General features: G+C 46.7%; 1 protein-coding gene across 3 annotated transcripts in view, besides 2 other annotated features; it reads left to right on the forward strand.

Annotated features, from left to right (window-relative positions):
- The window catches only part of ZNRF1 (zinc and ring finger 1), a 111971-nt gene that overhangs the window by 81961 nt on the left and 15888 nt on the right, over positions 1-14122 (forward strand). For 2 of the 3 annotated variants that reach the window (NM_032268.5, XM_017023793.2), the window contains exon 2: positions 12588-12683. In NM_032268.5, the coding sequence (NP_115644.1) occupies positions 12588-12683 (96 nt within the window). Of the gene's footprint in view, positions 1-3444; positions 3545-12587; positions 12684-14122 lie in introns of those variants that run through there. The other variant, XM_011523392.2, reaches the window with a different exon arrangement.
- Positions 6737-7393: an enhancer, noted in NCBI's record as "H3K4me1 hESC enhancer chr16:75121619-75122275 (GRCh37/hg19 assembly coordinates)". NCBI's record gives its function as "activates a minimal SCP1, AML or CMV promoter by ChIP-STARR-seq in primed H9 embryonic stem cells {active_cell/tissue: H9 hESC(primed)}" and the evidence as "EXISTENCE:reporter gene assay evidence [ECO:0000049][PMID:30033119]".
- Positions 12304-12496: a silencer, noted in NCBI's record as "fragment chr16:75127186-75127378 (GRCh37/hg19 assembly coordinates)". NCBI's record gives its function as "represses an EF-1alpha promoter that drives an FKBP-Casp9 reporter gene in an ReSE screen in HepG2 liver carcinoma cells {active_cell/tissue: HepG2}" and the evidence as "EXISTENCE:reporter gene assay evidence [ECO:0000049][PMID:32094911]".

Genomic DNA, 14122 nt, shown 5'->3' on the forward strand with positions numbered 1-14122 from the left:
AATATGGTGAAACTCCCGTCTCTATTAAAAATACAAAAATTAGCCGGGCGTGGTGGTGCGCGCCTGTAGTTCCAGCTACTCCGGAGGCTGAGACAGGAGAATGGCGTGAACCCGGGAGGCGGAGCTTGCAGTGAGCCGAGATCACGCCACTGCACTCCAGCCTGGGGGACAGAGCAAGACTCTGTCTCAAATAAATAAATAAAAATAAGGACTCCAGGACTTGGAAAACAGTCTATATCCAGGGAAGAAGCTGCAAACAGGCAGTTCCAAGGCCAGTCCTGTTTTTCTAGGAAGGTCTTCTGAGGGCACCTGCCAAGAGCGAAGCCTGACCTGCATGGCTGGTCCTACTTGGACAGTGTTCCTCCTGAAGGTGGAGGAAGTGACACTTTCTTCTGCTTTATAGACAGCCCACAAATCCCTTGGGAGTGGTAACTGCCTGTTTTACCTAGAGAGCAGTTTTTATTGTTGCCTTTGTTTTTGTTTCTTGAGGGAAAGTGGTCCTTGGCTCCAGTTGTTGCTGATTTTATGAGGAACAGGCAGGGGAATTCAAGCCACTCTAAGGAGTGTTCTCTGGCATTGCCCAAACGCTAGAAGTCCACACCAGCAGCAGCAGTGGGTTTTGGGTCCAAGGGATGTAGGTGTGCAGTGTGTCGGCGGTGGAAACAGAGGTGGAGCAGCCATGTATGTGCAAGGAGAGCGTGATGTTCAGTCGAATGACTGGGCATTTCCTGGCCAGACCTGTCTATCCTACTGCCTAGCTTGTAGGTAATCCCTAGTGTCTAAGAACTAGAAGAAATTCTTGGGCTACTGCACCAAGAGGAAGAGGATCTCCTTTTTCAACAGATGGTCCATCCTTTAAATAAGACATCTCCAAAATACAAGCCAAGTGTTTCCCTGGAGACTTTACATCCACACTTTCTGAGTCATAATTAAATGCCCCTAAACTTACCCAAGCATGGTAGCCAGGTGACAAGGAGTTATAAATCAATATTCATCTTTCTTAGACAGTAGTTGGGGACTTGATTCACACTTCACACTCATGCTGATGTTTTCAGCTGCTGCTGCTTTTTTTTGGTAGAGATGGGGGTCTCACTATGTTGCCCAGGCTGGCGGTCTTGAACTCCTGACTTAAAGCAATCCTCCTGCCTCAGCCTCCCAAAGTGTTGGAATTACAAGTGTGAGCCACTGTACCTGGTCAGTTTTCAGCTTCTTGTATCTGCTCGGACTCAGGTCATTGGACCATCATGTCCCGGTCCCTGCTTCCCCGTCATTTCCTTCCTAAGCAGCCCTTTGAGGGCCTCTCTTTGGAAGAAATGGTCTAGAGGGTCAAAGGGAAGAGGACCAATGAATGGCCATAGCTCCTGTTCCTGGTAGATGCTTTCCCCATTCTTCATGTGGCTGGAATACTGTTGCTGAGGATCCACCTGGCAGGCTGCAGGCTGGACTTACTGTACAGCAGGGTGGGTTTGATGTCTTCACGCTCACCTCCATGCACACAGTGTGCAGTCCTTCCTTTTGTTCCTAGCTGTAGATAGATGTCTTCACTTAGGCTCTTCTGGTTTGCAGTAAGTAGACAGGAATATGTTTGAGACGGGGTCTTGCTCTGTCACCCAGGTTGGAGTACAATGGCCCAATCAAGGCTGACTGCTGCCTCAACTTACTGGGCTCCAGCCATCCTCCTGCCTCAGCCTCCCAAGTAGCTGGGACCACAGGCATGTGCAACCATGCCTGGCTAATTTTTATATTTTTGGTAGAGACAGGGTTTCACCATGTTGCCCACGCTGGTCTTGAATACCTGAGATCAAGTGATCTACCTGCCTTGGCCTCCTAAAGTGCTGGGATTCGAGGCATGAGCCACTGCACCCGGCCAGGAATAAATTGATTGGGTCTATTATTGGAATTCAGTCTGTATGATTTTTCAGATATTCATATATGTATTTTTCATATGTTCATTGATTCTAAGGCACAGACACTTCACCATGTAACAACTTTAAAATCGAGATGTGCTATATAATCACATCTTAAAATTATAAATATCTGTGGAATACCATATTGAAAAAAATTGTTGGCAGCTTTTCTTCCCTTTCTTGAGGTTTATAATGATGCCTCTTACAATTGATGGCATCTTGGAGTCACAAAATACATTATGTAAGTTCAACTCATTTTTCACTTTTTTTGCCTGAAGAATTTGTGAATTTCCTCGAATGGACAGATTTACCAGCAAGCTTCAGTATATTTGGGCAGTACTGGATGCAGCCGATAAAATGGTTTACTCTGCACAGAGCAGTCACACATCCATCCTTGGTTGGACTTTAAAACAATTCTGGAATAGGAAGGGCACTACTTGAATATTACTAAGTAGTTGGTACAAGGCCATCTGGCTAGTGATTGGGAAAGCGTGTTTTCCTCTGATGCCTAGTCTGATTCTCTTTCTTCCATACCAGTCAGTGTGGAATTCAGAAACCTCAGAGATATGTTGGAGTGGAATCTACCATGCTTAGAGTAGAAAATGAAGATCACTACTAAGAGGATCTTTATAGTTGGTAAAAATTGAGAATCCTAATACCCAACAGAAGAAAGTGGCTAGGCACAGTATTATTAGATTATCATATGGAATACAAACATTGAAAATGACAAGTGCCTAGATTGCAGTTGATACAAGGAAGCCTATATTTGTAAAGAGCAGAATATAAATATCCTAACTCCTTGACTTCCAATGCCAACCATTTACCTCCTTGAGCCAAGCATGGGGGAGGCAGTTGAGGCCTAGGCAGAGTTAGAAAGGCTGCACTCCAGAGAAAATGCACAGAGAAGTTATGGAGAAAGAGATAAGGACCTGGAAGATAGAACCAAGAGATTTGACATACAAGCAGCAGGAGTACTAGAAAGAGAAAGGGTAGAGGAAGGGTGCCTGAGGCAGGACTGGCCAGGACTAGCTTATACTGTCATAATACACAGTTCCAGAAGCTTGCTGGCTCAGCTCGGCACATTGATTTCTTCCCCATGCTGCTGCATACAGTGCAGGTCAAGAGGTGGGACTCTGCTCACCATTGTTACTCAGGGACCTAAGCCAGCAGAGGCTTTGTCGCAACACCTGCTCCCTGGTCACTGCAGCAGTCAGGTAGAATGGCAGGTCATGCCCTGGCCCTTAAAGTCCGCTTGGGTGTGTGCACGTTCTTCCGTTCACATTTCATTGGCCAAAGCAAATCACAAACCCACCCTTAACTTCGAAGAGAGCAGGCACATGCAGTCATTATATATGGATGGAAGGAGGAAGGCTAGAAATATTTGGTGAACAGCATTGATGACTTACCACCAGGGGAAGTAATGAAACATATAGAAGAAAATTTCTCTAAAGAAGGAAGACTTGAGGCTGCATATTGAAAGGTAAAACTGATAAGAGAAGACACTAAGCATGTCCTGGTAACGTTTCTGAACTCTTAGGATGAAGAGAAAAATCTTCAAGCTTTCAGAAGCCAAAGGAACAAATTATTAAGGAAAAGAGTCACACTGGCACCAGATTTCCTATTTACAACACCAAGAAGCTAGAAGATGGTGGAATTTCATCTACAGACCACGGGGATAAAAGGAATGCAGCTCAAGCATCCTGTACCCAGGCAAGCTATCCATTCAGCTGTCAGAATGAAAGAAAGGTATTTGAGCATATACAAGGATTGAGAGTGTGCCCCCAGCTGTCACCCGCTGCCCTTGTCCTCACGGTGCCTAGATGCTCTGCCCTCACTGTTCTTCTAATACATCAAGGGCTCTGCTCACCTGTCACCTCCTCAGAGGCTGTCCCTGACCGCTGTATCCAAATTAGCACACCCACCCACTCTACTTGGCTTTTTCTTCACAACACAGCTCACTGCTTGACACTTTGTTCAATGTTTATTAAAATTTCAAACGTTTGGAAAAGTTGGAAGAAGTTTAACTTATGCATCTTTGTTTCTGTTCATTTCATTTTATTGCAGACATCAGTGTACTTCCTTGACACAGATCATTAACTACAGTTAGTTAACTGCAGTTCCATATTTGTTTACAGGTTTTTTTTCTGGTTGAGGTAAAATTTGCAGACAATGAAATCTCAAATCTTAAGTGTATATTTGGTGGATTTTGACAAACACATACGCGTGTGTAACCCAAACCCTCCTCATGATATAGAACATTTTTGTCATCCCAGAAGGTTCTCTCATTACCTTCTCAGTGAATCTCTGCCCCCACCCTAACCCCTGGAGACAACCACTGTTCTGATTTCTTCCACAGTAGATTAATTTTGCCTTTTCTAGAATTTCATATAATTAGAATCATGTGTGCACTTTTGTGTCCTTCACTTGGCGTGTTTTAATTCATCCATGTTGTTGCATGTATCAGTAATTCATTGCTTTTTATAGCTGAGTAGTGTTTCATTTTATTCCACGGATGTACCACAGTTTCTATATCCATTCTGTTGACCAACATTTGGATTGTTACCAGTTTTTGCTTGTTAGGAATAAAGCTGTGATGAACATTCTTGTAAATGACTATTTGTAGGTATATGTTGACATTTCTTTTGGGTAAATACATAGATGAGAATTTGCTTGGGTCACAGGCTAGGTGTATGTTTGTTTTATAAGAAACTACCAGACCTTTCCCCAAAGTGGCTGTGTCATTTTATATTCCCTCAAACATATGTGAGAGTTCCGGTTGCTACACATCTTCACCGACATTACCAACATCTGGTGTTGCTAGTCCTTTAAAGTTTTTGTTTGGTATTTTAATAGACAGATTTATTGGTCAGTGTTTTCTAGAGAAACAGATCCGACAGAGTGAGAGAGAGAGAGAGAGAGAGAGAGAGTGAGTGTGTGTGTGTGTGTGTGTGTAGAGATTTATTATAAGAAACTGGCTTACATGATTATGGAAGCTGAGAAATCCCATGATCTACCATCTGCAAGCTGGAGACCTGGGAAAACTCGTGGAGTATGTAGTTCCAGTTCGAGTTTGAAGGCCTGAGAACCAGGAGAGCTTATGGTGTAAGTCCTAGTTCAAGGGCAAGAGAAGACCAGTGTCCCAGCTCAAGCAGTTAGGCAGACAGAGAGTGAAATTTCTCCTCTTTGCCTTTTGATTCTATTCAGGTCCTCAGTGGATTGGATGAGGCCTGCTCACCTTGGGGAGGGCGGTCCGCTTCACTCAGTCTATGGTTTCAAATGCTGATCTCATCTGGAACCACCCTCACAGTCACACCAAAAATAATGTTGAGCCAAATAATCTGGGCACCCCATGGCCCAGTCAAATTGACCCATCACAACAGATATGTTAACACACACACAGATACATTAAACTTTGTCAGTATGGCTGTCTTCTGATGTCTGCTTATGAGAAATTTCTGGGGAAACAGGTGAGCCTCCAGGCCCCAGAACAGAACTGCAGAGGTTGAGTCCAGAAGAGAGGTTTTCGAAGAGGCAAAAGCCAGAATTCCTGGGCCTTTCCCAGTCAAGGATGTTCTCTAGGAGAGACTGACTCACACCTCAGCAACTGATAAATTGTGCCAATGTTTTCACTTATTTCTGTGTTGACAGAGAGGGAGTCTGTGTCTTTGAGGGTGAAGAATGTGATACCTACAGCTTAGAAATGTGAAAGAAAATCATCAGTGTTACCCCTTGATCTTTTATTCATAATAAATCCCATTTATGAAAATTAGTTTATTCAAGTCCCATTTTATTGACACTAAGCACCATGAGGATGTGACGGAAAGATTGAGGCTGGAAACTAAGAACTGAATGCTAAGGGCAAAGTCAAGGGGCACGCGCTCTCTGAGCTCCTCAGCCAAGAGTTACCCTCATCTACCCCTCTGCCCCAGGACCTCCCATCTGTGTGGCGTGGCTTTCTTTACCCTGGTTGCTTCCTTTGATTCTTCTACCTTTAGGTGATCCCAGAGACAGGCAGAACTGGGGCAGCCTTTAAAATAGCGCATCAGCATGGGGAGGGGGGCAGAAGGGAGGGCTGGGGAGGGAAACTGGAGCAACACGCCGCCAGCACATGGTCCTGTCCTGAGAAATCAGGTCTTAAAGGAAAAGGTTGCAGCTTCGGAAAATGAGAAGTGCATTGGTCTCCAGAGCATAAAAACTCGAGTTGATATTGCATGATAAATGTTGTAGTGGATTGGGAGAGTTCTTGTAGCTTGAACCAGTTGCCCCCATCCTTCCTCGGCTGCTCTGTCAAATGGTAGGGCCTGGGTGAAGGGATGCCCAGTTACCCTGGTCCAGGAACATTGATGCACATGACCACATCAGCATTCCTGGGATCACTGTTGGTTCCCCTAACAGTGGGCTTACCCTGATGTTGTGAGTGTCCCTTTGACCTGACAGTAAGAGGTCACAGATGGCAAGTGCAGACTTGCCTTCTCTCAAGAGCTCTGCTCTCTGGTACAGCCAACCAAATGGCAAAGGATTTCCCACTTAAGGCACTTGTTGAAAGACAGGAAGCAGCTGGACTCTGGCTGATCCAACTCTCTGCTCAGCTCTTCTGGCTGTGTAAACAGTGAGCTGATCTGATGACAAGAGAAAGAAAGGAAACCAGGTCTCCATTAGAAGGACTCTCTTGGCTTCTCTTGATTGGAAGTGGAGGGATCCTGTAGGCGCATTTGCTTGGCAGAACCCACCCAGAGCAGAATTGGGTGATTAAGGACACATTCCCCACAATGCTCTGTCATTCGTTCCTTCCTCATCTGAACATACTGGCAGAAAAGGACAAGGAACCCGGGGTACGTTCCCTGCCTCTGCCTCTGTCTGGTGGGAGGAGATGATTGCCTACGGTGAACCAGTATCAGGCTTGGCCAGCAAGCCCGAGCAAACTGACATCTCCCTTCACTGACAGTTGCAAACTTTCGGCAGACACAGCCCATGTGCAGGGAGCCGCTGGGGCGCTGGCTGGCTACTCCCCTGGCCTCCAGGGTGTGCCGCTCAGAGCCTGCTCTCAGAGGCTTAGGGAGTGTCCTGTAGATGTCTCCTGAAGCATCTCTTACCTGCTCTGAGTGCTGATGAAGGTCTCCGAGGAAGTTTGACAAAATCATGCAGGCCGAATGAGTTTGCAGACCTTTGGTTTACTTTTGTTTTGGAGGGCTGATTTTAATTTGGTGTGAGCTTTTTTCCAAAATGGAATCAAAATTTCCTGGATGTTTTAACCTTCAGGTAGTTCATAAATATCACAGGATTTATCATTCTGTAGGGCTGTAGTGGACGCTTATGGGAAAAGATTTGGGCAATAGACTGGGAGAATCCTTCTTGATCATCGGATGACATTTCAGGAAAGAAGCTGGGGATATTAGTCTTTTCTAGCTGTCCGTGTTTTTTCTGTCCTTCTTACCTTTTACCCTTTATTTTCCATTTAAAAGGTCATCTGCAGATTCAGCATCTTACAACCAGTGCTGTAGGCCCAGTGCCAAATGGAAAGCAGAACTCCAGATAGTTATAACAGAGTTCCTAGGAAAAAAAAGTGTCCATTGTTTCAGGCTACAAGTTAGCCCGGACTATGGGGCACTTAAGGAGAAATTGCTGGGACAGTGTAGAAGGTTCATAAATGAGTATTTGGTAATAGCTGGTAGTATTTCTGTTCTTTCTGCCATGTAACTCTTCTGTGCTAGTCAGTCAGTAGCACAGCACACGAGCAAGAGCGCAGACTTCCTAGGTGTCGTGGGCCAGCTCTGCCTCTTTCTGGCCATGCGAATCTTGATCAGGTTATGTAATCTTCTGAGCCTTGATGTCCTCATCTGTCAAATGGCGTTAATGATAGATAGTACCTACCTACCGTATATGAGAAGACATGTAAAGCACCATGGCTGTCCATAGTAATGACTCAATAAATGCAAACTATTATTTATTATCATATGCAAGAGTAGGTGCTGCAGAGGTTAAAGAGAGACTGTTGGTTTCCAGTTGGCAGTATGGAAAGTGCCAGTCGTAGTGCACAGTGCTCGAGAGGTTCAAAGGAAACGGTGATGGCACCCGGCAGAGATGGGAGCTGCTGGCCACCCCCTAGTGGACTCTGCATAGCCCATGGCCAGTGTGCCCTTGCCATGGTCTCGAGGATGGAAAAGCCAGGTCATCATGTGATTTCCCACTCGCATAATAGACACCAACTTACTCATTTTTGTTTTTTGTTTAGACAGGGTCTCACTCTGTTGGCCAGGCTGGAGTGTAGTGGCATGATCATGGCTCACTGCAGCCTCAACCTCCTGGGCTCAAGCGATCCTCCTGCCTCAACCTCCCACGTAGCTGGGATTAGAGGCATGCACCACCATGCCCAGCTAATTAAAAAAAAAAAGTTTTTAATAGAGACGGGGTCTCCCTGTGTTGTCCAGGCTGATCTCAAACTCCTGGGCTAAAGTGATCCTCCCACCATGGCCTCCCACAATGCTGGTATTACAGGTGTGAGCCACCGTGCCCAGCCCAGAGCTATTTCTTGAGCTATGCCAAAATAAAACAGAAACACCAGAGGTAGTAGATGCTGGTGTTACTAACCCTGCTTTAGTTAAAGTGTAGGCCTCTTCCTACACCAGTGGTGCTTCCTCTCCAGAGGTAATATTTCCCAACATGCCTCGTTCTTAAAACCCTATGGCCAACTCTCCCTACCCTGACGGAAAGGACTTTAGATTTGAAGCAGAGAACCCTGAGGCTAGTCTCAGCTCCACCTCCTCAGTTGTGTGACAGTGTGCTACTCAGAGGCCTTCACCAGGGCCCATTCCCTCATCTGGACAGTGAGGGGATTGCTCTAAACTTGAGTCTCCGCCTTTTTTTTCTAGGACATGAATGTCTGGTGACATTCCCTTGTAGACCTTCTTGTTGGGTGGCCTACTTCCTAGTACCTTAGCTGTAACTCAACTCCCCTCCTGCACTCAAGGAATCACGCTGGAATACAGGGGAGTAAATGATGCTATTATAGGGATAACCTTGAATCTGTTCTGAGTTATCAGAAACATAAGTACCTGCAAGGTGTAGTTTTGTTCTTAGTCACAGGTCACTTTAACGCTAGGCAGTGAGAGTGTCAGGGCCTGGAGGCAGAAGGCCTGTCCTAGACCACATCCCTCCTCTCCTTCCACAGCCTCAGCCTGCAGGCAGGTGCCAAGTTAAAGTGCAGGTGTCCTTTAGTTATTTAAAGGGTTGCAAAACCTTGGTCTTTGGGGTTGAAAAAAACCCCATGTGAGTGCAGAGGGACTTAGGCTGGATCGGAAAAGCATCTTCCATCTGTGAGACGCAGGTTTACACCTCACCTCCCCATCGAGCTGTGACCCTGGATCTGCACATTTCTAAACTGAGTTAGAAAATAATCAGCCTGGTGTGTTTAGATCCAGCTGTGCAAGAAAACTGGATGGAATTCCCCTCCTTTCTTTATAGTCTTCTGGGGTTTGTTGTTGTTGTTCTGGTTGTTGTGTCCTTTTTGTGGAGAACGGGGTCTCACTGTGTTGCCCGGGCAGGTCTCAAACTCCTGAGTCCAAGTGATCCTCCCACCGTGGCCTCTCAAAATGCTGGGATTACAGGCGTGAGCCACCACACCAGGCCTGGTCTTCTAGCTTTGTTAATGATGGATTTATAACCACCCAGAGGTTAGAAATACAGCCCTTTCCCGAAGCTCCACCAAAGTCCTTGGATTGGTAGCGTTTCCAAGACTTTTTAAGTGACATGCTCAGATGCTAAGAATCTCTGAGGAAAGAGGTTGGGGAAATGGCGACTGTGCCATGGAGTCAACTGTCCACTTTGTCTGTAGTTAGCCAGGCCCTGAATTTTCTGCCTGGTCCCATAGTTCAAAGCACTGCCAATGAAGGGAAAAAAAGAGGATTTGGAGAGGACTTTAAGCAAAGTGGTTGCGTCAGTTAGCCTCCTGTCTCTCAGCACCCCGGGCCACCAGAGTCACGGCTTTTCATGCAGAGTTAGGCACCCAATTAAATAAAAATTTAATTTTAATTTGTATTTTTTGTAGAGGCAGAGTTTAACTATGTTGCTCAGGCTAGTCTTGAACTCCTGAGCTCAAGTGATTTCCCCACCTTGGCCTCCTAAAGTGCTGGGATTACAGGCGTGAGACACCGCACCCAGCCACATTCAGCCTTTTATCTGTTTCATAAGAAATGTTGGGTGACTGATGCCTGTAATCCCAGCACTTTGGGAAGCTCAGGCAGGTAGATCATCTGAGGTCAGGCATTTGAGACCAGTCTAGCCAATGTGGCGAAACCTAGTCTCTCCTAAAAATACAAAAATTAGCCAGGCATGGTGGCGCTCACCTGTAATCCCAGCTACTCGGGAGGCTGAGGTGGGAGACTCTCTTGAACCCGGGAGGCAGAGGTTGCAGTGAGCGGAGATCGTGCCACTGCACTCCAGCCTGGGCAACAGAGTAAGACTCCATCTCAAAAAAAAAAAAAGAAAAGAAAAGAAATATTGCAGATGGTTATCACTAGTATCAATTAAAACTGCATATGGAAAATTTGACTAACACAAGAGTCCAGTCTTTACAACAGTATAGTGAACTCTTGAACTACGTGGGAGACTCTGACCCCCACACAGTCAAAAATCTGCATATAACTTTTTTTTTTTTTTTTTTGAGACAGGATCTTGCTCTGTCCCCCAGGCTGGAGTGCAGTGGCACAAACATGGCTCACTGCAGCTTTGACCTCCTGGGCTCAAGCCATCCTCCCACCTCAGCCTCTCAAGTAGCTAGGACTACAGGCACACACCACCACTCCCAGCTAATTTTTTTTTGTAATTTTTGTAGAGACAGGCTTTTGCCATGTTGCCTAGGCTGGTCTCAAACTCCTGAGCTCAAGCAGTCTGCCGGCTTCAGCCTCCCAGAGTACTGGAATTACAGGCATGCACGACCACACCCAGCCCTGTGGATAACTTTTGACTCCCCCACAACTTAACTACTAATAGCCTACTGTTAACCAGAAGCCTTACCAATAACATAAACAGTCGATTAAGATGGATTTTGTATGTTATAAATGTATTATATACTGTATTACAATAAGGAGAGAGAAAATAAAATGTTATTAAGAAAATGATAAGGAAGTGGCCAGGTGCGGTGGCTCACACCTGTAATCCTAGCACTTTGGGAGGCTGAGGGCAGGAGACTGTTTGAGCCCAGGGGTTCAAGACCAGCCTAGGCAGCATAGCAAGACCCCATCTCTAATATTAAGAAAAAAATTTTTAATAACATTTAAAAATATGTATAAGGAAGAGAAAATATATTTAGTGTTCGTTAAGTGGAAGTGGATCGTCATAAAGGTCTTCATCGTGTTCACATTGAGTAGGCTGAAGAGGAGGAGGAGGAGGGGTTGGTCTTGCTGTCTTAGGGTGGCAGAGGCGATAGAAAATCCACATGGAAGTGGAGCCCCACCATTCGAGCCCATGTTGTTTGAGGGTCAGCTGTTGTTAAATGTGCCACATTAGGAAGTCCAGGCTGGGCGGGCAGGAATCACAGTCACAAAAGGGAGAAACTGTGATGTGCACAATTTAATGCAGAGAAATAAGATTTCAGTGGCAACAGATCTTTTTGATAGAATGTATATGGAAAAGAATTGATCCATTTGAAAATCATTTCAATGAAAGTAGATTGGAAAAAATTAGAAATAATTCATCTGTGTTGTATGGACAAATGGATCAGGGGATTAGGTTTGCTTAACGGAGTTCAACTCGAAAGATTCTCAACCAAAATTCTCCAGTATGGGTACAATTCTGTATCAGTTGAAACTCTGGATGTGTAAGCAGTTCACACACATCTCAAAGGACAGTGGCCTTAAGCCACAAAGGAGGCAGAGGGGGCTGTGGGTGAGGGAGAGAGTTGCTACCTGGCATGGGCGGCTGAGGCTGGGAGCTGGGTGAGGGATGAGATTCCTCCCAGGGTGATCCAACCAAGTGGCTGAAAGGCTGTGAGGCAGAAGAATGTTAAACTGTTATGCAAAGGCTGTTTCCAGGTGCCTTGGTTTGATGCCTCCCTACCCCATTGTCCACCAGACCCATCTGAGAAAGGGTCTAAAGAAGATAAAACTCAAGTCAGGTGTCAGTGACCTTGGTTAAACCTTAACGAGGCACATAAGGCAGGGTGAGCCCTAGTGAAAGCTGGCAGTCAGTCAAAGGCTGCAATAAAAGGCAAATGCCACCGGGCGCGGTGGCTCATGCCTGTAATCTCAGAACTTTGGGAGGCCGAGGCGGGTGAATCACCTGATGTCAGGAGTTCAAGACTAGCCTGGCCACCATAGTGAAACCCCCTCTCTACTAAAAATACAAAAATTAGCCAGGCGTCATGGCAGACACCTGTAATCCCAGCTACTTGGAAGGCTGAGGCAGGAGAATCGCTTGAACCCGGGATGCAGAGGTTGCAGTGAACTGAGATCGTGCCACTGCACTCCAGCCTGGGCGACAGAGTGAGACTTCGTCTCAAAAAAAAAAAAAAAAAAGGCAGATGCTCAAATGAGTCCTTGAAGGAGGACAGGTCCAGGGTCTGTTCTGATGGTCATCCTCCACATTGACCCTGAGCCCACATGGCTGTCATTCGAGAGTGTCCACATGTACTGTGGATGTACTGGATCTGGAGAAAACATTTCATCCCATTCTCCTCTCTTTCAGGTTTCAAGTGCCCCATTTGCTCCAAGTCTGTGGCTTCTGACGAGATGGAAATGCACTTTATAATGTGTTTGAGCAAACCTCGCCTCTCCTACAACGGTAAGGGCTTGGCCTGCCTCACCAGCCTCCAGAGCATCCGTCGGGGGAGCCGGCCAGTCCTTGTGGGAGCCTCCAGTCGAGGGTGGTTCTGGGCAGTATTTTCACCCTGCCCTCTGGCAGGTGTGCCTCAGTGGTGGTGAGGAAGTGGACTGTTCTGGGAGCCTTGCTGCTCAGGTCAGAGAGGAAGAGGAGTGGGACAAGGAAGGAAGGCCCAGGGGTCAGGTCCGAGGTCTGGGAAGGCTCTCGGGCTGCTCAGTTAGGCCCCTGCCTCTCTGCAACTCAGTTCTGAGGACTTTGGCTGGGAGATGCAGCCTTTCCTTCACCCTTGACTGTGGAAGGCCCCAAGACAGCCAGGTGTCCTCCACGGCTTAGCAGAGGGGCCCAGAGCAAGCACCCGCCCTCCTTGGGGAGGTGGGGGCTGTGTGCTGGTGGCATGCATAGAGTGCTGGGAAGCTGGTCGTCTCCTTGTCACGTTCGAACTCGGACGAACACCTGATTTAGTCCTATGAGTCCACACCAGAGAGCTTGACGGGGGACTATGTGTGACATAGAGACGCTCTGGGGATTGAAAATGCGGATAGGACACCTTGCTGCTCCACCCTGGCCATGTTGCCTCCTACCTTGGAGGCTGCCTCAGAGCCGAACAGTGAATACCGCAGAGGGTAGGACCCTGAGGGCAGGGGATTTCAAAACACCCAAGCTAACCTAACAGGACGCCTCTGGGAAACAAAATGACTGTCAACATCTGCCTAGCATGCTGTGCATAAGGCTTTGGAGTCCAGGTGATGGGAGTTCAAATCTCCCTCTACCACTCTGTGTCTACAATCTTATACAAGTTGCTCAGCTTAGCGGAGCCTCAGTTTTCTGCTCTGTAAAATGTGGATAGCAATACTTGGTTCATAGGATTGTCAGAACTGGGTAAGAGATGGCACATAAAGGCCTTTGGTACAGAGCCTGGCACATGGTCAGTGCTTGGGAAGTTACAGCTGCCATGAAAGATGTGAGACCTTCATAGGTTTCTTTTTGCAGTTTTCCAGAGCCCACAGACTTCTCCTCAGTGCTGCTCAGCCCACGCCACTGCTGACCCTCGATTTTCCATGCTTAGTGTTTAGTCTGGTCTCCAAACCATGTTCATCAGAAAACGGCATCTTCCACTAGACCAGGCAGTGGATCTGAGTGCACTCCAACCCTGGTACTGGCCCACCTTCCCAGATTCAAGTCATAGTAGTGGTTGGAAAAAGAGTTCTGGGATTTCTGAGAGCATCTGAGGACTGGATCACGCAACCAGCCCAGCGAGAATGTTTCCTAGGGAGACTCTTCTCTGCCCTGCAGCCTCCTCACTCCCAGAGGGCTCTTTCCCCTACAAAGCATGAGCCTAGGAGGGATCATGGTCTCAGAGCATTTCCTGGGAAGTAACTGACTAATGGCGTCCACTCAGG

The sequence above is a fragment of the Homo sapiens genome, chromosome 16 (genome assembly GCF_000001405.40).
Source record: "Homo sapiens chromosome 16, GRCh38.p14 Primary Assembly".
Taxonomy (NCBI): Eukaryota; Metazoa; Chordata; class Mammalia; order Primates; family Hominidae; genus Homo; species Homo sapiens.